General features: G+C 48.5%; 3 pseudogenes across 1 annotated transcript, besides 2 other annotated features; 1 reads left to right on the top strand and 2 right to left on the bottom strand.

The window, feature by feature from the left end:
- Window positions 4,772–5,272: an enhancer, noted in NCBI's record as "H3K4me1 hESC enhancer chr15:76084939-76085439 (GRCh37/hg19 assembly coordinates)". NCBI's record gives its function as "activates a minimal SCP1, AML or CMV promoter by ChIP-STARR-seq in naive H9 embryonic stem cells {active_cell/tissue: H9 hESC(naive)}" and the evidence as "EXISTENCE:reporter gene assay evidence [ECO:0000049][PMID:30033119]".
- On the top strand, window positions 5,187–6,353 carry DNM1P49 (dynamin 1 pseudogene 49; annotated as a pseudogene).
- Window positions 5,273–5,773: an enhancer, noted in NCBI's record as "H3K4me1 hESC enhancer chr15:76084438-76084938 (GRCh37/hg19 assembly coordinates)". NCBI's record gives its function as "activates a minimal SCP1, AML or CMV promoter by ChIP-STARR-seq in naive H9 embryonic stem cells {active_cell/tissue: H9 hESC(naive)}" and the evidence as "EXISTENCE:reporter gene assay evidence [ECO:0000049][PMID:30033119]".
- Window positions 8,150–22,317, bottom strand: GOLGA6EP (golgin A6 family member E, pseudogene; annotated as a pseudogene). Its single transcript, XR_932489.3, has 18 exons — window positions 22,193–22,317; window positions 20,400–20,519; window positions 18,397–18,477; window positions 17,499–17,537; window positions 17,184–17,234; window positions 17,002–17,083; window positions 16,799–16,905; window positions 15,698–15,784; window positions 15,483–15,590; window positions 15,179–15,290; window positions 14,521–15,050; window positions 14,134–14,244; window positions 12,802–12,871; window positions 12,280–12,371; window positions 11,617–11,719; window positions 11,431–11,534; window positions 11,188–11,341; window positions 8,150–11,101 (listed from the first exon to the last, which is right to left on the bottom strand). The product of XR_932489.3 is annotated as a golgin A6 family member E, pseudogene (transcript).
- RN7SL319P (RNA, 7SL, cytoplasmic 319, pseudogene) lies at window positions 12,516–12,736 on the bottom strand (annotated as a pseudogene).
- Window positions 22,318–23,135: the final 818 nt, after the last annotated feature.

The raw sequence follows: 23,135 nt of genomic DNA, 5'->3' as shown, positions 1-23,135 counted from the left end.
ATGGGGAAGGGATAATGGACACTCCATGCCTGGTGCCCTCCTGGACTCAGCCCTATACCTTTCTTCCCTGATTTTAATCTGTATCCTTTCCATGTAATCAAGCTGTAACTATGAGTATAACAGCCTTCTGTGAGTTCTAGCCAATTCTTAGAGGTAAGCAAGCAGAGCTCATCTACTGCCTGCTTGAAAAAACTATTTAAAAATCCCTAAACCGAAGAAGGCCAGAGCTCTCATGAATCTGACCCAACAGATTCTGAAGCCAAAGCTGAGGGCATTGGAAGCCAAAGCCAGGCCAGACAGAGATGAGGCTCCTGGGGGGGAACAGGTGCAGTCCTGCTCAGGCTGCGGTGTCCCTGGGCTACAGCTGGACAAGGGCTCCCTCTGGGTCACAGCTTCTAGGGACAGAGTTTGGGGTAGTTTGACTGTCTGATTTGTAGGACTCTGGTGATGAGCTCAGCTGGGAAACTGTGTGGTAATGGGAAGAGAATGCTTTTGCTTTTCCAAATCATCTCCCCCTGCATGCTTGGATCCACATGGGAACTCAGTGTGGAAACTGCCTTTGAACAGCCTAACTCTGGGCCTGAACTCTGGGCCATGTGTCCAGTTTCCTGGCCTCCAGATTTGTTCACTCCTCACCCCTACCCATCACTGATGCCAGATCCATCCTCCCAAATGTCCTTTCATCATGTTACCCTACCCATCACCTCATGGTACCTTCTACACAACAGGAAATGCCTCCCATCTCAGCCTGGCATTCAAGGTTCTTTCTGATGTGGCCACCTCTCACCACCGCACCATATCTCCCTGTGGGCCCTGCCTAATTGGATCAATTTTTCCTATCCATGAGCTGAACTTCCCCACCTCCATACTGTTGCTTACACTGTGACTTTCCTGTGCGTGTTCTTTTCCTCCCTCTTCCCAAGTCCAAATGCTATAGACTGAATTGTGTCTCCTCAAAATTCATACACTGGAGCCCTAACCCACTATATGATTGTATTTAAAAATAGGGCTATTAGGAGGTAATTAAAGTGAAGTGAGGGAGGAGGGGCAGAGCAAGATGGCTGAATAATAGTCTCTACCAATCATTCCCCCTGCAGGAAAATCAAATTTAACGACTGTCTTCACCAGAAAACCATCATCATAAGAACCAAAAATCAGGCGAGGACTCACAGTACCTGGGTTTAACTTCATGTTGCTGAAAGAGGCATTGAAGAGGGTGGGAGAGACAGCCTTGAAACACCAATATCACCCCTCCCCCTCCCCCAGCAGTGGTCACTGTGGTGCTGAGAATCTGTGCACCTGGGGGAGGGAGAATACAGCAACTGTGGGACTTTGCCTTGAACTCATTGCTGTCCTGTCACAGCAGAAAGCAAAACCAGGTGGAACTCACGTGACACCTGCCCATGGAGGAAGCATTTAGACCAGCCCTACCCAGAGGGGTTCACCCATCCCAGTAGTTAGAAGGCTTGAGGCTTGGGTTTTGACAAGCCTTGGCATGGCAGGCTGTTATGCCCTGGGGCCCTAAATAAACTTGAAAGGCAGTCTAGTCCATCAGGACTTCAACTCCTAGGCACATCCTAATGCCATGCTGGGCTCAGAGCCAGTGGACTCAGGGGGCACACGACCTAGAGAGACACCAGCCAGGACAGCCAAGGGAGTGTTTGCACCACCGCTCCCCCAACCCCAGGCAACGCAGCTTGCAACAACTAAAGTGACTTCTTCCTTTTGCTCGAGGAGAGAAGGGGGAAAAGCAAAGAGGACTTTGTCTTACATCTTGGATAGCAACTCAGCCACAGTAGGACAGAGCACCAGTCAGAATTGAGAGGCCCCCATTCCAGGACCTAGCTCCTGAATTACCTTTCTAGATACACCCTGGGCTAGAAGGGAATCTTCTGCCCTAAAGGAAACAACCCAATCCTGGCAGGATTCATCACCTGCTGACTCAAGAACCTTGGGCCCTGAATAGCCAACAACAGTGATACCCAGGCAGTGTGCTATGGGCCTGGAGTAAGGCTCTGCGACGTGCTGGCTTCAGGTGAGACCCAGCACATTCCCAGCTATGGTGGCTGTGGTGAGAGACTTCTTCTGCTTGAGAAAAGCAGAGGGAAAGGTAAAAGGGACTTTGTTTTGCAGCTTACGTACCTGCCTGGCCACAATGGGGTAGAGCACCAAATGGGCTCTTGTGGTCACTGATTTTAGGCCTTGGCTATTAGACAGCATTTCTGGGCCCGTCCTAGGCCAGAGGGGAGCCCACTGCCCTGAAGGGTGAGTCCCAGGCCTGGAAGCATTCACCACAAGTGCCTTCAGAGCCCTTGGGCCCTAAGAGAACATCGACAGTAGCCTGGCAGCACTCCGTGTGCGCCTGTGGTGGTGGCCACAGGGTGAGGCTCCTCTGCCTGTGGAAGGGGAAAGACAGAGTGGGAAGGACTTTGTCTCATGGTTTCGGTGTCTGCTCAGCCGCCTTAGAATAAAGCACCAGGTAAATTTCTAAGGTTTTTGGCTGCAGTCCCTGGCTCCCAGACAGCATCTCTGGACATGCTAGGGCCTAAGGGAACTTGTTGCCCTGAAGGGAAAGACACAAGCCTGGCTGGCTTTGACACCTGCTGACAGTAGAGCCCCAGGGCCTCGAGTGAACATAGGCAATAGCCAGGTAGTGTTGACAGTGGGCCCTGAGTGAGACCCAGTGCTTTGCTGGCTTTAGGTCTGACCCAGTGCAGTCCCAGTGGTGGTGGCCATAGGGATTTTGTGTCAGCTCACCCCCAGCTCCAAGTGGCTCAGCAGAGAGAGAGAGAGAAAGAGAGAGAGAGATGGGGGGGGGCCGCAGAGAGAGAGACAGAGACAGAGAGACAGAGTCAGAGACTGTTTTTTAGAAAGAAATTACAGGTAGAGAATAAGAGTCTCTAATGCCTGGTAGCTCAGAAAATTCTTCCAGATCTTATCCGGGACCACCAAGGTAGTTCCTCTATGAGTCTGCAAGAACCATAGCATAACTGGGCTTGGAGTGTCCCCTAATAAAGATACAGTTTAGATCACAACACCCGCATCCTTTCAAATACCTGGAAAGCCTTCTCAAGGGTGGGACAAACAAGCCCAGGCTGAGAAGATGGTGGCAGCTTGAAATCAGCCATGGAATATTTGCACCACCGAAAATGGCAAACACTACAGAACAGACTTCTGTTCCCTCCCCGACAGAGAGCCCCTTGTGTAACAACAGCACTCCACTGCCCCATCCCTGAGAAGAGTGCTGTTGCAGCAGAGTGAGGGTGGGTGTCTTCTCCCTTGGGCTACAGAATACACATTTTTTTCCTCAGCACATGGATCATTCTCAAGGATAGACCATATCTTAAATCACACAATACGTCTTAAAATATTAGGAAAAAAATGAAATAATATCAAACATCTTCTCTGATCACAATGGAATAAAACTGGAAGTTAGTAACAAGAGAAATGTTGGAAACTACACAAACACATGGAGATTAAATAATATGCTCTGGAATGACCAGTGGGTCAATGAAGAAATTAAGAAGGAAATTGAAACATTTCTTAAATGATAATGGAAACACAACATGCCAAAACCTATGAGATTCGACAAAAGCAATACTAAGAGGGAACTTTATGGCTATAAACACCTACTTTTAAAAAGCAGAAAAGCATCAAATAAACAACCTAACAATACATCTTAAAGAAATAGAAAAGCAAGAGCAAACCAAACCCAAAATTAGTAGAAGAAAAGAAATAATAAAGATCAGAGCAGAAATAAATGGAATTAAAATGAAGAAAACAATAAAAAGCATCAATGAAATAAAAAGTTGGTTTTTGGAAAAGATAAACAACATTGACAAACTTTAAGCCTAAGACTAAGAAAAAAAGAAGACTCAAGTGAATAAAATCAAAGATGAAAAAGGAAAACATTACAACTGATAACGCAAAAATTCACAGGATCACTAGTGGCTATTAAAAAGCAACTGCATGCAAGGCCGGGTGTGGTGGCTCACGCCTGTAATCCCAGCACTTTGGGAGGCTGAGGTAGGTGAATCACGAGGTCAGGAGTTTGAGACCAGCCTGACCAACATGGTGAAACCCGTCTCTACTAAAAATACAAAAAAATTAGCTGGGTGTGGTTGCACAACCTGTAATCCCAGCTACTTGGGAGGCTGAGGCAGAAGAATCGCTTGAACCCAGGAGGCGGAGGTTGCAGTGAGCTGAGATCATGGCACCACATGCCAGCCGAGATAGAGCAAGACTCTATCTCAAAAATAATAATAATAATAATAATAATAATAATAATAATAATAAACAACTGTATGCAAAGAAATAGGAAAACTTACTAAAAATGGATAAATTTGTAGACACATCCAGCCTGCCAAGATTGAACCGTGATGAAATCCAAAACCTGAACAGACCAATAAGAAATAATGAGATCAAAGCAGTAATAAAAAGTCTCCCAGTAAAGAAAAGCCTGGGACTTGGTGCTTCATTGCTGAATTCTACCAAACATTTAAAGAACTCATGCCAACCTTACCCAAGCTATTCAAAAAATAGAGACCTTACCCAACTATTTCAGACTCATTCCACAAGGCTAGTATTACCCTGAAACCAAAACCAAAGATACATCCAAAACAGAGAACTACAGGCCAATATCACTAATGAATATTGATGCAAAAATCCTCCACAAAATATTAGCAAATTGAATTCATCAACACGTTAAATTTGGGGTGCAGTGTCCCAGCTTCACTCAACCCTTCCCCTTTTCCTGTGTGTGTCTACTTTGGCTGTGCTCCCAGGTGGCAGCGGTGGTGGCAATGTTGGTGTGTGGGCCTCCCAGGACAAGGGGAAAGTGAGTATGCCCTTCTCTCCTCCTGCCAGGCATCTGTAGCCTGGCACCAGCTCTGGCCATGTCTTCAAGCGAGGGACCTGGAGATGTTCTTTTCCAATTTCTGGATTGGGAAATGGAGGCAAATTCTGGGTACTAGAGTCAGAACTAAGATGAGGCTTGATCAGGGGCATCTGGGGTCCTGAGAGGCAGAGACCTGAAACCCTCTAGAGCATGTGGGGATCTGGGTGTGTGTTCTGGCCAGTTGCTTCTCCCTGTGCCTCAATGTTCCAGGTACCCTTGGAAGGGCTGAGATCCTGGAGCCTGGCTGCATGTCCTGGCCACCGTGATGCCTTTGTGTTCTCCATGGCAGGCCAGCAAGGCCGAGGAGAATGGCTCCGACAGCTTCATGCACTCCATGGACCCACAGCTGGTGTGGCAAATGGAGACCACTCAGAGCCTGGTGGACTCCTATGTGGCCATTGTCAACAAGACCGTGTGGGACCTCATGGTTGGTCTCACGCCCAAGACCACCATGCACCTCATGATCAACAACATGCATGCACCACCTCATGGGGGCAGGGGCTCCTGTAGCACTGGGGACACAGGTGGCTGTGTTGGCCTGGCAGAGATGACAACCAGCCCTGTGGGACCAGGTGCAGGGAGAGGGTCACGGTCCAGACCAGAGCTGTCCCATAGAACTATAACGTGGGACTGGGCACAGTGGCCCATGCCTATAATCCCAGCACTTTGGGAGGCCAAGGCGGAAGGATCGCTTGAGCCCAGGAGTTTGAGACCAGCCTGGGCAACATAGTGAGACCTGGTCTCTACAAAAAAAATTTTAAAATAGCTGGGCCTGGTGGTGGCACGTGCCTGTAGTCCTAGCTACTCAACAGGCTAGCCTTGGAGGATGACTTTGAGCCCAAGAGGTTGAGGCTGCCGTGAGCAGTGATCTTGCCCACTGTACTCCAGCCTAGCGACAGAGAGAGATCCTATCTCCAAAAATTAAAAACTGAGTAGACAGGTGTCCTGGTGGCATGATAGGTCCTGGGTCCCCTCCCAGATCTGTGACCCTGGACTGGTGACTTGACTTTTCCTCTGGACCTCAGTGTCCCCATCTGAGTGAAAAAAAGGCGGTGGATAGGTGGGTCTTTGAGTCTAAGTGGTGTAGAAGCCACGTCTGAAAAGCCATGCTTGGGGCTCCAAGTCCATTCCACAGTCCCAGCAGGGCCTGGTGGGGTGGCCAGGGTGACACAGGCATCAGGTCCCAACCTCCTTCCTTCTTTGCCCATTCTCAGACCAAGGAGTTCATCTTCTCAGAGCTGCTGGCCAAACTGTACTCATGTGGAGACGAGAACATGCTGATGGAGGATTCCACGGAGCAGGCAAAATGGTGCAACGAGACGCTGTGCATGCACCATGTGCTGAGGGAGGCGCCCAACATCATCGGCGACATCAAAACAACCATGGTCAGCATGCCCACGGGGGCCCATGGATGACTCCTGGCTGTAAGTGCAGAGCGTCCCAGCCCGACGCAGGTACCAGGGCTGGCCCCCATGGCCCCAAAGCGCCCCAGCCTCCATGGCTGAGCCTGTGGGATCTTGGAACAGGCTCCATGCCCAAGGTGGCAGACGTGGGTGCTCTCTGGAGCTGTCAGAGAGGGCAGAGAGCTCGTGGTTCATGGTGTAGGGGCTGGAACTTGGAGGGCATTGTGTGTGGGGCTGGAATCTGAGTCTGCCAGAGGCCTAGGAACGTCATCCTGGGCACGCCGTATCTGTCGTGCAGTCTGAGTCATGCTGCCAGGTCAGGGTATCCAGCTCCCAGTCTGGGAGTGCCGAGAGCCAAATCCACTGCAGAGCAGGGGTGATAGTCAGGGTCCCACCTCCTCTATCTGTTGGCAATCCAGTAGTGATCTAGGATAAAATCTTGACAGTCCCATACACATGGTCATCCCACAACACACCTCACAGGCCAGGCAGGAGTCACATCACCAAGGCAGCCAGGACCCCATCCCCGCCTCCTTCCTCTGTCCTATGCTATCAATAAGTAAGTTTCCCAGCCCCAAATAATGATTAGAACCTCCTCCCCATATGCCAGCTCCAACCTCCGCTAGGTATGATACAGGGGGTGACCCTACCCCCAAGCATATACAAAATGTTACACAGACATTATATGTACACTGCGGAAGGGGGTCCACCCCAGCAGCCTGAGCCCTTGCCTGCTCTACAGTTAGCCCCACTGTCCCGCCTCAGCTGCCTCTCTGAATAAGAAGATGGGAGCCGCCCTGAGGGAAAAGTTGCTTTGGTGAGAGTAGGGAGATCATCAGGCCTCCTCCAAACAAACCAACTCCACCAGCCTCTAGCTCTTAAGTAACAAACGTTGCCATCCAGAAATGTAAGGACTCAGCCCTGGTCAGGTGGCAAAGGGTCTGTTTGTCTGCCCCCCATTAGACAGGGGTGTTGTCTTGCTACCCTAATGGTAAATGGGTGACTGGGAAGGGGTGGTAGGGACATGGTGGGGGCAGAGACTCCAGCCCCACTTCTCCAGGCTTATGCTGACAAGGGCCCGCTTTTATTTTTATCCCATGACTTATTTTTTAATCCTATAACTTCTTTTTCATAATACTTTTTTAAAACTTTTCATAAAACTTTATTCTACCTTTTTGCACAACTTTTTTTTGCCACAAATTTTCCACAACATTTTTTGTCCCGTAACTTTTTCATTCCACAACATTTTTTATCCCATAACTTTGGTTTGTGTTCTTTAAATAAACACACTTGCATAGTTACAATTTTGTAAAAATAAAAACCGATTATCTCATGCCAAGCGTGCCCAGCATTTGCACAGTTTCAATACTTTTAACACCATAGTTTTCAAGACACACAAAATTTTAAGGCAAAAACAGCACTTTGCAACAATTTAATAATTTATTACATTACAGTAGCATCACAGTAGCAGTCAATTATGCCACTTTAGGCAACAGTGTTTCAGTATTTCCATTATACATTCTGTTTACAAGAATTCATAAATTGGTAAAAGTCATTCTAAGAAAACTTGGCAAATAAAGCTTTGCATTGGAATTGGAATTTCTTTCTCTACTTTTCCTTCCCCCGGTTTCTTTTAAACTACAGTATTCATATTTTAAAATGTTTTAACTTATTTCAAAACATTAAGATAGCAGTTACATTTTTAAATAGTTATATTCTTTTAAAACGACTCTTTAAGATAAAGTTTTAGAGAAACTATATTATGGATAGGGCTGATTTACATTTTCAGATTTTCTAAATATCAGCTTTGGTTTTAGAACTGATTTTTTTTCATTTCTGGAAAAACCTATCAGGTTTAATCAAATACTTTAAAAATTATTATATATTGCAATATTTAAATAGGTATTTTAATTCTTCACTTCTACAGAAATTCTAATTTATTCAGTTGAACTCACACTTTAAAATTCTATGTTTCTGATAAACTCTAACCTTCCAATATTGCCTTCTAAGCAAATTGAAAGCTGCCTTATACTGAATGAGGAAGAGAACAAATACTTGGCTGAATGAGGTATTGCAAAGGAACGCATGCACTTTGAAGAAAGACTTAGGTTATTGTCATACGATTTACATGCTATTTAATTTTTCTTAAATATATGACAGAATACCTACACAAAGAGTGGTATTTCAGTTAATATAGTACATTCATTTTCCAGACTGACATTCAGCTTAAATATGCCAGTGTGTGATTTAATCCATAGGTACCTGATGAACACATTATTGTCAGATTGGTTACAGGTGCTAAAGGCTATCTGAAGGTCATTCCTAGTCATTTATATTTATCAGGGTAAAAGTGAAGTGATCTGAACTATAAAAATACCTTTGAAATAATTTATAAATGTATTAGGTAAACCCAGTTTCAGAATTATAAAGAAAAACTGTTAGACCAAATAAGTTGGCTAATTAACAGTAGTATGATTTCTAGCCCGAGGGTTTAAAATGGACTTAAAGTAACTGTCTTTCAAGTGAACTCAAATAATGCAAAAGCGGCAAGTTCACAAAATAGGAGGCAAGAACAGGACCTTAAGTCCATTTTAAACCCTCAGGCTAGAAATTGTACCACTGTTAATTAGCCACATTATTTGGTCTAACAGTTTTTCCTTATCATTCTGAAACTGGGTTTATCTAATACATTGATAAATTCAAACAATTTGGAAGAGTCAGTTGAAGTCACAATAACCCAATATTTGCACTCTTTCAGTGACTGCAGGCAAATCTGTTATTTCATCTGTAAAATCTTATTATTGCTCTCCTATTAATGTCGTATGTATAAAAGTATCAATGAAGATGCCAAATGCTAAAAATGGAGATGGTCTAATCACTAGAAATGCCCACCCCAGGGAGCACACATGCATCTCTCCCTGCATCCTAATAATGTGACGTATTTTGGAACACAGACTTTAGAACTTCATGAAATTTTAGCTGTTGATTCTTTCCCAAGCATCTTAAAGTTATGATTTAGGCAATGTATGACTGAAATAATTCATTCATCATGTATAGGCACATTAACATAAATATGGCACAAAATATGCCTCTAACTGAAACCGAGAGGTATAAAAACATATTTCACTCTTTGTAAAGAACCCTGTGAGGAAATATAACTCTATAATTGTATAGACACTTTTCCTCATAATACTTGGACATTCACAAACATTAGATTGCACGGCAGCTTGTAAACATTTTAAGTTGCATAAACTTCACGTTGATTTTCATGTGTAGTATAATACTGTCTACTAAAACTCCTTTTTGTTTCAACTAAGTACTCTCACATATATTGGTTTATAATAATGGTTTTTATTATTTTTAAAGTGTTTTCCAGTCAAGGGAAAGAAGTAAATTCCTATGTCAGAGAAACCAACGTGGCTGAAGAATAGGTATTAGCCAGAGAGGTCTAGATGATAAAATCAATCTTCTAGCCTCAAAGAAGCTCCATGAACATAGAGGAAGGCCAAGTGTCACACAGCTTTCCTTCACTCGAATTCATTCTTGACTAGAGCCCGTATGCCTGTTCCAGGGACATTTAAACTCTTAAAGGATTTCTTATGATCCTCACTAAATACATTAAGAAGAATGCCAAGCAGTGCCTTTTGGTGTACTGGGACATATACTCATGTGATTAAAACAGGTAACATGAACTCTGACTTTAAAATGTATTGTAGATATAAATGCTCTAAGCTAGAAAAGGTTTTCCACATCCACAGTCAATGATGGGAGCCTTTCATTCCTCAGAAATAATCCCTTTTTAGGTTATCGAGAAAGGGTACAACTGCTGCAGCTCATGATACAATATCTTCATGAGCCCAGAGCACACACAAATCCTAAGGAAGCCACCACAGTACAGCGCTCATTCTTGGCACCAGAACAAATGAAACACACTGTATCCTGCACACACCTGCCAGAGCAGGCCACTTTCCTCTTCTGTGAGATTTTAAAAGCTCCCCAAAATGTTATTACTCTCATCCCCAATACACAGAAAATAGGGGAAATGCTGTTTCCAGTTCTCGGCCTTTAAACAACTCTAAATGTCAGTACTCACAGTGGCATATTACAAAGTAATAAACGGTGCGCACTTGAGGGCAAACCACATATTGAGCTAATGAAGAGCTCACTGTGGTTAGGATTCGATCAAACATAATAGCAGAACATAAGCACATTTTATCTGAATTCTGTAATGAATATACGTGCTGCAATAACATTAAAAAAGCATGGCAGCCTGTTCCAAACCAGCAAGAATAGTTTTGCGCAAATAGTAGGTCTTTGTGTGTTTGAACTCCCACCACATAAGGGCAAACTCGATATGCGTGCTAATGACCTACAATTATCAAATTAAAAACAAAAATGCTAAAGGATGCCAGAGTGAACATCAGGGAAAGACCCACTCTCCCTTAACTTTTTACAAATAAATTTAAACTGTAAATTAGAAACACAAATAAACATGAGTGGCTCTAACATTCAAATGGAGTAAATGAATTGTGTAGGAGATGAACCCCATAACTTTTTGTTTTTTTTTTTTTTAATTTCTTGACCAGCTCTTAGATGATGATGTTTATCTCCCTGTTCTCGGCTGCCTGGTAAAAGAATGACACACAGGGGTTGCCGGGCAAGCCTGGGTGCTCCTGGGTGTCCTGCATTACAGGAGGCAGCTGCACGATCTGCTGTGCAGTGGGGTTGTCATGGGGAGAACCCTCCCCGGCCGCTCCCGGTGCAGGCTCCTCGCTATCGTCCAGGCTCACTTCATAAAAATCTTCAGAGAGAGGGAGGCGGGGGTCTGAGGGCAGCGCCAGCCTCCCCTGCTCCTGCCTGCCCACCCCGCCTGAGGGCTCTACTCACCACCCTGCTCATCGGCAGCCCCAAGTTCCTGGGGGGCTGGGGCCCCTGGAGCGGGCTCATCGGCAGGGTTCTGGGCAGCGGTGAGGAATTTGCCATGCCCCTCGTGGTCGCCCACAAGGGGCAACACCAGCTCCTGCAGCTCCAGCAGCTTCACCTGAAGGGAGGGGTGCTCAGCCGCCACACCGGAGCCGGCTCCAGTGCCCACGCCCACCCCTACCCCTGCAGAGATGTTGCACGCCCTACCTTCATCTCCTCCTCCTTCTGGGCCAGCCTGATGATGTCTTCCTTCTCCTGGTGCCGCGTGTTTGGCACTGCCCCCTGGCTCTCATATTCAGTGATGTACTCTCCTGTGAGAGGACACGGCTCAGACGCTGGGGTCCCTCCGACAGCCCTGCAGCTCCCCCTGCCGTGCCCTGGCCTCCCGCTCACTCATGCCGTCTGTCGCTCCAGAGAGCTGGATGAATCCAAGCTCTAGTTTTTCCACCTGCTCCTTCCTGCCCACCTTCTCCTTCGGGAGGTCCATAAAGCCGCTCTGGAGCCAAAATAATGGGGTCACATCTCGGGAGTGACCTGTCCTGCCCTGCCCCTACTTTTCTTGGCCCTTGCCAGGACTCACTCACCTTCACCTTCTCCATAGCCTCCTTGAGGGCCTGGTAGCTCTCCCCACACACAAAGTCACCCCCAGTCCCTGGGGCTGGGGCCTCTGCCTCTGGCTCCTTCCAGGCCAAGGCCACCAGATGAGCCAGGTGCAGGTGGCACAGCCTTCGCACCTTCCACTGCCCACATAGCCGTGCCTGCTCCTCCTGGGAACTGGCTCCAGCAGAGTTGAAAAATGCCACTTGAAGGCAAGAGGTGAGTATTCTTGTAGGGGCATACACAGAACAAATGAGGCAGGGAGGTGGAGCACAGCCCCTTCCCTTGGGGCCTCAGAGAGCGCACCTGTTGGTCACAGGTGAAATGGTGTCTGATCACTGGCTCCCGGAAGGGGTGAGGGGCCAGAGAAATCAGAAGGTGGGAAACCAAGAGCATAAGGGGGTCTGGGAGGGACCACAGAGGAAGGTGGCAAAGCGGGGCAGGGAAAGTCAGGCTCACCGTGGCCTCCCGGCTCTCCAGGTCCTCTGGGATGTTTGGCGTGGGCCGAGGCGCCTCCTCCTCCTCACTGTCCAGATGTTGTCCTCCATCTCCTGTGGGGAGGTGGCCAGAGGGATCCTCAGACAACCCAACAAGGGAGGTACTCTGGGCCTACCTCTGTCCCCACCCTCAATGTGTAACCCTGAGCCAGCCTCTCCCCAGAGGGGAATGAGCTGCTGTCCTTTATTTTTCCTTTTAAGAACAAGATCTTGCTATATTGCCCAGGCACAGTCCCATTACTGGTCAGTGCAGGAGTTCTGACCTGCTCCCTTTCTGATCTGGCCAGTTCACTCATCCTTAGGCAACCTGATGGCCCCCTGCTCCTAGGAGGTCACCATATTGATGCTGAACTTAGTGCGGACACCCGGTTGGCATAACGACCAGCTGTTCTAAAGATCTCTTCCAACCCCTCAATCCTATGCTGCTAACAGTCCCCCCTTCCTCCTGGGGCTCTCTCCTCTTCCTCTGAGTGGTCTCCTGTACCTTCTCCAGGGAGAGCCACGAGGCTTAGCTGGGTCTCTAGCTGTTGGTTCTGGTGGCTGGCAGCTGGTTCCTAAGGGGATGGAAAACAGAGTGAGAAGGCACAGAGGTTGCCAGGTCATCCCCCTCGGGGCCCTGTCCTCAGCAACACCCTCCCCTAGGTCTCCTGCAACTTTTGGTGGGCCATCTCAGCCACCGCTTTGCCCCAAGCTTCCTGCTGCTACAGCTGGTCCATGAGCTGGGTCTGCAGCAGTAACTGCCTGTGCAGCGCCTCCTTCTCAGAGGTCAGCTGCTGATAGGTGGTTACGTACTGCTGCAGGTGTCCCAGGTACTAGTCTCGCTGCTGCTGCAGACTCTGAGACTCTTGGCTCTTCAGCTTCACCTGCAGGAAGGCCCTGGGCATGAGGGCACGTGGTGGCTGGCTTCCAGATTCTGGGCCCATTAATAGGGTAGAGAGGGCCTGTGGGGCTCTGTCACCTGCCCAGGCCCCTGGCCCCTTGCTCCAGGCTTAAGAGACTTCCTCCCTTGCCTAGAACCCCATACCTCCTTCCCTAGCCTCAAATCTCATGTCCTTTTCCCCCCCATTTAAACTGTAGGCCACAGACTGGTGGAAAAGCAGAGGGAGCCAACCACCATCTGCTAAGTGTGCTACATGCCTAATGCTTTCCATGTATTCTCTCATTCAATCCTCAGCACCTCTGCAAGGAAAATGCTAACTTCCTTTTGAAGTTAAAGAAACAGAGACCTAGAGATGAAAAGTAGTTGAATGGTCACCAGTGGAACCGAGGCCAGAATCCAGTTTGAATCCAAGGAGGCTTTTTTGTTTTGTTTTGTTTTGAGACAGAGTGTCACTCTGTGGCCCAGGCTGGAGTGCAGTGGTGCAATCTCAGCTCACTGCAACCGCCACCTCCCAGGCTCAAGTGATTCTCATATCTGGGATTACAGGCATACATCACCATTTTTCATTGTTGTTGTAATTTTAGTAGAAATGAGGTTTCACCATGTTGGCCAGGCTGGTCTCAAACTCCTGACCTCAAGTGATTCTCCTGCCTCAGCCTCCCAAAGTGCTGGGATTACAGGCATGAGCCACCATGCCTGGCATAAGGAGCCTCTTATACCACTGTCTCTTCCCCTATGACTGGGGGAATCCATGCCTCTAGCTGGGATGATGATTTTGAGACCTGGGAGGAGCCCAGGGCTACCCACCTCTAAAAGTCAGAGGGCAGGAAGCAAGAAACAGTCATAGGGCTGCCCTGGAGGGTGCTGGGGTCAGCTGCCCCCCAGCTGGAGCTGCCTTTGGCCTGGCACCTCCCCTCCCCAGAGGCTGGTGCCCACCTCCCAGCCCTTCTTGGATGGGGCAGAGGTTACTGTCTCCTTCTCGCCCAGCCTCTCCTGCAGCTCCTTTACTTGCTGCTCCAACTGCAGTGCGCTCTTGTTCTCGTTATTCTGGACAGAGAGAAGCAATCAGTGGCCATCCACTGCAGCTGGAGACACCAGAACTTGGTGTCTGCCTCCCATGTCACCAGGAAGGGTGGAGGCAGGTTAGAAAAATCATCCCTTCTCCCCCACAGCCATCAGAGCAAGGCCTGATGAGCTCTGGCTCACAGGTGCCTTTAGAAGTACCATTTCATGTGAGAGCTACACTGCCCCATTTTACAGGTGGGGAAACAAAGGCCTGGATAGATAGGGATGAGGGCAGGCTCCCCAGGTGGGGCAACCCACCAGATCCTCGAAGCTGCACTGTGGCTCGGCCAGCTGCTTGTCGAGCTTGTGGTTCTGGGAGAGCATGAGCCTCTCCTCCTGCTTTTGTAGCCTCTCCTCCTTCTCCCACAGCCTCTCCTCCTGGTCCCACAGCCTCTCCTCCTGGTCCCACAGCCTCTTTTCCTGCTTTCGCAGCCTCTCCTCCTCCTTTCGCAGCCTCTCCTCCTGCTTGCATAGCCTCTGCTCCTGCTTTCGCAGCCTCTCACCCTGCTCCCGTAGCGTCTTCTGCTGCTCCCGAAGCCTCTCATTTTGCTCACACAGTCTCTCCTGCTCCCGCACCCTCCACTCCTCCTGCTCTCGGAGCCTCTCGTCCTGCTCCTGGAGCCTCTACTTTTGTTCCTTGCTCAGGAGACTCAAGGCCTGGTTGTTTTCCACCTTGGATTGGAGCTTTCCCTCCAAACTCTCCACCTCCTTCCTCAGGTGTTTGGCCTCATCTTGTAGCTGCTCCACCACAGAGGTCACTGCTGGGGGTGCCGGGGATGGGGGCTCAGCTGAGAAACAAAGCAGACAATAAGGGCCTCTGGATTCCCCACCCCCCCTCCAAAAAAAACCCTCCTCTTGATGCACAGCTCCTCTCAGGCTTCCCAAACTTGGCCTCACTGCTAACGATTCCTCCCACCCGACGGTAGCCAATTTCCAAGCCACTTTCACATAGAGAGTTTGGACAAGCTCCTCTCCAGCTCCTGTATCTGATGTATGACACGCTTCTTCTCCTTCTTCAATGTGCGAGCCTGCCCAAAGCACATGGGAAAGGGCCCTGGAGAGAGGGGCTGGTGGCTGGACAGGCTACCATCTCCCTCTGTGTCCCCACCTCCACAAAGCCGAGACCCATGACCACCTCTGGCTGTACTATTCCCATTTTACAGATGCCCAGAAAGATCCAGTGACCTATCTAAAGTGGGGGCTGAAGGGTCAGACCTCACCCCCACCGACATTTTCCACATCCTCTCCTGCCACCGGGCCCTCTCTTCTTTTATATGTTGAGCATATTCATCTCTCTCTAGCTGGACTTGTTTAAGTGACTCTGTCACCTGCAAGAATGGGCACACAAGTTAGGAAGGGCTGTCACTGGTCCTCACCTGCTCCTGGCCACCTGGGGTCATCTTCCTTCCACATCCCTCCCTCTGCAAAGCATCACCTGTGTCACGTGTGCGTTCAGCAGTGCCTGCTCCTTTATGGTCTGCTGTAACCGCCACTGGAGGACCGCTTCTCTGCAGCTCGAGGACTGGAGGGTGAAGAGTGAGAAGTTTTGATCTGGGGATCCCGGGCAGTGCCCCTTAAAAGGGCTAGGGCTAGGCTCAATATACAACTCGGTTAGTAAAGATCAAGGCATTTCCAAGCCCATGGCCCAATTTTTAAAAGAACTCAGTAAAGTTGGAAGGGACAGGGAAAGAGATCGAATTTACAGCTGGCTAACAGAGGCCCAGAGAGATCAGATAATATTGCTATTGTTATTACTGTTATTACTACCACTGTTTGAACCGTTATGGAGTGCTTCACCAGGTTCCATGCTAGCAATCCCATTTAATCCTCACAACCACCATATGACACAGTTACTAGGATTACCTCTATTGTGTAGATGAAAAACATCGAGTGTTCAAGGTTAAGTGCTTGCCTAAGATCACTTAGACAGAGCTGGGATTTGAACACCCAGGTCTATCCTATTCTCTAAGCCCATTTTTCTTGCTGGGGGTGGGGACACAGATAGGAGGGGGAAATTAATCTTTTGTTCACTTTTTGAAAGGATGATACATTCGCATAGTCCAAAACTCAGAAGATACAGAAGGGAAGAGTCTCCCAGCCACCCTGTTACTCTCTCCTGAGTTTTTTATGAACCCTTGCAGACATGTTTTTGTATATCATCATAGTACACGCACACACACACACACACACACACACCCCTTTCTTCTCTCTACAGAAATGGTAACATACTAAAGGTACTCTTCTGTACCTTCACAGTATAAGTACCCAATACCCCACCTAGGACTTGGCCAAGGCCACAGCCAGGAAAGGGCAGGGCAAGCACTTGGCCTCTGAGCTCTGCATCCAGTGCTCACTCTCCACAGTGCCCCCCAACTCACCCACAGCAGCTGCCTCTAACAGCCATACACAAAAGTAGCGAGAAATGACCATGCTGCCTTCTGGGCAGGACACTCCGTCCTGCAGAAGGGACCTTTAGGCTCACTCCTCAATCTGGGAAGCCAGGCTGCCAGGGGATGGGGCTGCTGGTTGGACTCACCCTGTCCTCTTCCTGCTGCTGTGTAGACACAGCAGAGAGAGCCCGCTCCAATTCTTGAATACGCTGTAAGGAGTATTGCAGGCGGCCAGCCAGATCCTTGGACTCTTCTGTAATGAGAGAGGTTGAGATGGGGCCCAAAGGACTCCCCCTAAAGACCTGTCAAAGTGACAGGTTGAAGGATGATGGGGTGCCCAGGTTCCCACCTTCGAAGTGTCGGGCAGCACGTTTAGTATGGTAAAGGGTGGTCTTCAAGTCTGCCTTTTCCAATGTGAGGATGTCGATTGCCTGGAATTGAATGTTTGGGAGAAAAGCCAAGCAAATGCTGAAAGAGAAGGAAAGAAATATTCTCCAGAGGACAGGAGAAAGCTCCCCACCCTCCACTCACCTCTAACTGCTCCATCTGTGCTTTGTGTATTTCACTGTTGGTTTTCTTTTCCTATAGGAAGAGGAAGACAGAGCTCTTACTAGGGGGAGGCCGAGATGGCACAGCAAGAGACATGCTCCCAGAATGCCACCAATGCCCCAGGACAGGCCCACCCATGGGACCAGGTTATCAGGGACCCTGTGGGGATGGGGTGGAATCTGAGGGGTGAGCCTTCTTCCCCAGGCTGGGAGAGGGCAAGATGAGACTGGCGCCTCTGCATCTGAGTGCCCCCCAAACCCAGCAGTCACGTTGTGAGCAAACAAAAAATCACGTTACTTCTTCCAGCTGATGTTCCACTTGTTTCTTCTGTTGTTTCTGTGGGGAGAGTCAAATTCAGGTGACTGAGAGTGGCCCCCTCAACTCTATTTCCCAGACCAGGAAGCGGTAGGCAGGGGCCAGCAATGGATTTTAAAGGCAACATTCTCAGACCCAGTGGCAACACGAACTGGTCAACTCTCCTCAAGCTCCCAAGGACAGAGGATGTGGGTCTTTGTTGGTTTTCACCCACAGCCACAGAACTCAAAGTCTGAATCTGGATTCTCTTGAAAGGACAGTAACATAAACCTCTAGAGATGGAGTCTGAGAAATGCCCACTCTTCTGCCAGTTTGTGATTTAGAAAGGTGCCTTCATTCAACAAACATTTACTGAGCACGTATGGGCCAGGTATGCTTCTTCACAGCAGATATAGGATGGAAAAGGACAGACAGGAGCCATTGACCCTGAGGTTTCCATTCTGGAGGCCTTTAAATCTCAGATTCTCAGAGCTAATAGAGACCTTTGATGCTCTACCTTCTCCGGAAACACGAGCCCAAGGAGGACAGGTGGCTTGTCCAAACTCAAAGAGCAAATTAGGGACTGACTCAGGGTAGAAACGCAGGTTCCCTGACAACCAGTCAGGCTAGTACTTCCCTGAGAGACGACAACCCCAGGGCGAGTGTGGCAAGGACTGGAGCAGGGATATCTAGAGAAGAGAGAGTTGGCAAAGAGGGCAGCAACAGAAGAGCCATGCTGCATGCTCCTTGCTCTGGGGTCCCTCCAGGTGAGGCCTGGGTGCTCCAGCTCCCCATTTGCCCTTGGCACCAGGGCCCCCCAGCCCCTTTCTTCAGGACCCCAAGGGGAAACTAAAGCCCAGGAATAGAAGCATGGACTCAGGGGACCCTACTGGACTCTTACCAATGATTCTATGTTTTCATTGAGTTGATTGATTATTGCGGAGCTTGAGTCCAGGGCTAATTCCAGTTCTTGGTACCGACTCTGAGGCGCATGCAGAGAGGAGGAGTTGGAGGAGGATTGTGGGGAGAGGTGGAGAGAACAATCATTAGGGCTGGGGTGTGTGTGGGCTGTCTCAGCTGGCAGAGGGGCACCTAGCCCCTGCTGTGAAAGGAGGTTGGAGGGCTGGCCTGCAGGGTCACTGCACCTTGGCCCAGGGCCTCTTACCTCCAGATCCTTCAGGGTAACAGATGATGCAGAAGTAATAAAAATGAGAAATTCAAAAAAACAAAAACTTACATGGGAAACAGTTATGGATATAGAGAAAGTATAAAAACAGCAATGAGCCAGGCATGGTGGCTCATGCACGTAATCCCAGCACTTTGGGAGGCTGAGGTGGGTGGATCACTTGAGGTCAGAAGTTCAAGACCAGCCTGGCCAACATGGTGAAACCCCATCTCTACTAAAAATACAAAGATTAGCCAGGCGTGGTGGCAAGTGCCTGTAATCCCAGCTACTCAGGAGGCTAAGGCAAGAGAATTGCTTGAATCCAGGAGTCAGAGGTTGTAGTGAGCCGAGATTGCACCACTGCACTCCAGTCTGGGTGAGAGAGTGAGACCCTGTCTCAAAAAAAAAAAAAAAAAAAAAAAAGGCTCCAAAGCCCATATGCCTGCTCTGTACATTATTCCCAAATTACTTTTAAACTTTAAGGTATATCTCACCATTTCTAAGATGATAAAAGATGCAGGGAAGGAAAAAACCCAATCAATCAAGCAGGTGAAGAAGCAGACATAAACAGGCTGAAGGTCAATGGCAGCAACATAAAACAAGGCAGAGGAAAGGTATCCCCCAAACCACAGAAGCCTCAGGGCCATGCATAGCCGGAGACAGCAAGCCAGAGAAGGGTCTTGGCACTGCCTCACCTTCCACTTATCCAATGGGGGAGTGCTACCCCATTGGAATGGTTAAGATTGGACACCAGCACCTTCAGAATGTCCTGAATCTACAGGAGGTGAAAAGGAAAAAACAAGGGCAGGGGGAGAAAGACAGAAGTGTCTTAGAGAGAAGCAAGAAAGTCAGGGTAGGAGGAGGATGTGGGTTCAGGAAAATGAAATGCTGAAGAAGAGCAGAGGAGATTAAAACCTTGGCCTGTCCCACTCTTTGAAATGGCCACCTGCTGCCTTGCCAGGGCAGGAACAAATAGATGGAAAAGTCTCCTGAACAATGCAGTCACAGAGTGGAGTCACCTGACCAATGCAGCTCTTCATATGCTCACTGAACCCCTCTCCTCAGGCCCAGGACGTGGGTGATGAATCTGGTAGAGCTCCAGACCTCCACCTCCATTAAAAAAACCAGACTTCTGAGTAAGGGTTCACTGGAACTAAGGGGGCTCCAGCTAAAAAACAAGTTTGAAAGGCACTGATCTTATCCAGTATCATCTTACAGAGGAGGAAACTGAGGCCCAGGGGAAGAAGCAATTTTTCTGTGGTCACCCAGCAAGCTGGTGGCAACTTAGATCTTCTCTTACTCCTAGTACCCGGGACTCTCCTCACCACACCAGGCCCCTTCAGTGACTCCTATAGGGGACAGCCTGATGGCAAGTGGCTGTACTCATTGGCCCAGCTTCCCCTTGAGAATGGGGATCAGGAAAATCAAAGAGCAATGACCATTTCCTGGGTATCCTTGGTCTTTACAGCAGACCATGTACTAGGGATTAACATAAAAACAGCAATAAGGAATCTCATTTAAACTTTACAAATGGAAGTCAAACAATACTACCCCTATTGTACAGATGTGAAAAGACAGGCCCAAAGAGCTCAAGCAATTTGCTGTAAATCAGATCCCTAGAAGATGGAGAAGCAGGATTCAAACCCAGAATTCTTAACCAGTACCCAGCAATCTCAACAATTACCCTCTACTGCCCCTTGGGCCCCCTGTCCCCAGGAGCCTGGCCAGCCAAGACTCACAGCCCCAGGTGAGTGGCAACCACCAAAAGTGGCTGTCTCAGGGCTACTGCCAGTGTTTTTCTTTTTCATCTTCACTCCTGCTGGAACACCAGGGCTGTTCCTCTGCTGATATTCTTTTAGCTGTGGGAAAGAAGAACAGTAATACACATGAGAACTACCAGTCCCTACAGCCACAGCCTCCTTTACAGTTTTTGCAAAATACTCTTATACACCATCTGATTTAATGCCACTAACAACTGTACAATGTGTTGTCACAATCACTTAGTGACTGAGAGAGATTGATATTATGGCTAAAAAAGGAGGGGGCAATAATGGAACTTAAACTCAGTCTTCTGACTCCAAGCTCTGGGGTTTTGCCATGAATCAGCAGCTGCCAGGGACCAAAACCAGAGGCAGAAGTAGAAAAGTAAACATTAAGTAGGCAGGAACTGCACACTCTGTGGTTTAGAGTCATACATCCTCACATGTCTGTTAGTGTGAAGAAGTGCACCAGTACCTCTCAAACTTTTATATCTATGTGTCCTCATGGCAGAAGGCAGCTTTTTTGTTAAATCTGGGAATTTATCAGAAAGAGTACAACCCATCTCATTTCAGAGAAAAGTCTGGTATACTCTTAGAAACCTATGTGAGGGTCATCCCTAAGTATATTAATGTTTTTTCTGTCTCAAGAGAATCAAGGGAAACTGATGCTTCAGAAAGATCTCCCGCATTTATCCTGTGGCACTCAATGTACCCCAAGTTGAGATGATATGAGGAAGATTCAAGCTGTCAAGTTTAGTTTTCCAAGATCTATTCCATAGAAGATGAGCTAATCTCACTTCAGAGACCACTGACTGAAGGGCAGTCTGGTCCCAGAACCATGGAGAATTAGAATATGAGGTGGAGAACTCAGAAAAAAATGTTGAAGTCTCTCTGGAGAGTAGAAGCCTGGGAGAAAACAAAACCAAACCCATTTTCCATTGTCACCCAGAGATACTGTCAACATTTTGAGCTCACGGGGGAAGTGTAGGCTTTTCACACTGTCAACGTCTATGTGAAGGGAATAAAGCAGCCTGAAACCTCTTGCTCTTAGGTCCCATAGTCCCCATTCCCCTTCCAGCTGGAAATTTGTGCTGCAACCAGAGGAACCAGAAATGGGGGGAGAATGCTTAGGGGATTGGGTCATAAGATCAAAGGCTGGTCTTGCAGCAGTAATGACAGTTCCTAGGGGGACTGTGACATCACTACATTCCACTCCTCCTGGGGGTGGGGGAAACCTCATCAGTGTGATGGCTGAGTCACCGATCCACGATGGGGGAGGGGGACTTAGGGCTGGGACCCAGGTCCTTGGAGACTCCAGTCCAAATAGCCCAGGGATGTTGGGCTTGGGTCAGCAGGAGGGGAGAGCAGAGTCTGCAGCAGGGAACCCCAGGAATCACCAGCCCAAAGTCACCCAGGGATGACTGGTGACGGGAGGGGCTGGGGCTGGGGACCCAGGTCCTTGGAGAGATGAGCCCAAAGAACCCAGGGAGGTCAGGCTTGGGGTGGCAGGACATGAGGGCAGAGTGTGGAGCAGGGAGCACTAGGAGTCACCCACCCAAAGTCACCCTGGGGTGGTTGGTGAGGGCAGGGGCTGGGCTGCTTGCTTGAAGGGGCAGGGCTGACTGACAAGACTTTGGTGGGGGGAGTCCAGAGGCCCCAAATTGGGGGGGCCCAGCCCGGTATGCCTCAGGAGTGGTATGGACTCTAGCAGTGGTCTTGTCATTGGAGGGATCTCTGGCTGGGTTGGGGGGCCATGAACTCGTGTGTTTTACCTTTTTCTTGGCTGCTGCCAATTTACTCTGTTGAGTTTCTTCTAACATCGTGGGGTGGGGAGGAAGGCAGGGTTGGGGCCACATCAGCGAACACCTCCAGTCACGTATCAGGCACCTGTGTGACTGAGCCAGAGGAGGCGTAACCAGGGCCCCACTAGAACACAGAATAGGGGTGTGGCCTTAATGCTCCAAGCCCATTGGTCAATGAGAAAGATGAAAGGGAAAGGAGGCATGGCCAGGCAGCAGTTTGTCCCGAGGAACCTGTGGCATCACAGGGAAAGCTGCCTATGCAAATGCTGTCCCCACCCACTTGGGGAGAGGGGTGGGGCCTGCCTACTCTGGGAGAGGGGAGGGGCCGGCTTTTGCTTTAAAACTTTAAAAATAAACTTTAAAAAATATGTATTTATACTTTATATATATGTGTGTCAGTGTGTGTGTGTCTACATGTTCCTCCAGAGCTGTCTTCATTATCCAGCTCCTATGCATGGTCTATGATTGTGGCCTACATTTTTCATCTTCAGATGGAGTATAAGAATTACCAGTATTACCTCAATTGAGACATAAATCCTATAAAAATGGAAAATCCATAGCATGTTTGATGAATAATGAAGCGGACTATATTATCCAACATTCCAATAAGGTAAAATGATCACCATGATTTCTCTTTTTTGGAAAAACATTTCTCTTATTCTCCTACATTGTTAAGATTTTTTAAAAAACAAGAAACATGTCTAATATCTTTAAAAACACAAAGCTTTTGGGCTGGATGTGGTGGCTCACACCTGTAGTCCCAGCACTTTGGGAGGCGTAGGTGGGTGGATCACCTTAGGTCAGGAGTTCAAGACCAGCCTGGCCAACATGGTGAAACCCTGTCTCTACTCGAAATACAAAAACTAGCCAGGTATGGTGGTGGGTACCTGTAATCCCAGCGCTGGGGCAGGAG

The sequence above is a fragment of the Homo sapiens genome, chromosome 15 (genome assembly GCF_000001405.40).
Source record: "Homo sapiens chromosome 15, GRCh38.p14 Primary Assembly".
NCBI lineage: Eukaryota > Metazoa > Chordata > Mammalia > Primates > Hominidae > Homo > Homo sapiens.
This window is presented reverse-complemented; position numbering and strand designations above follow the sequence as displayed.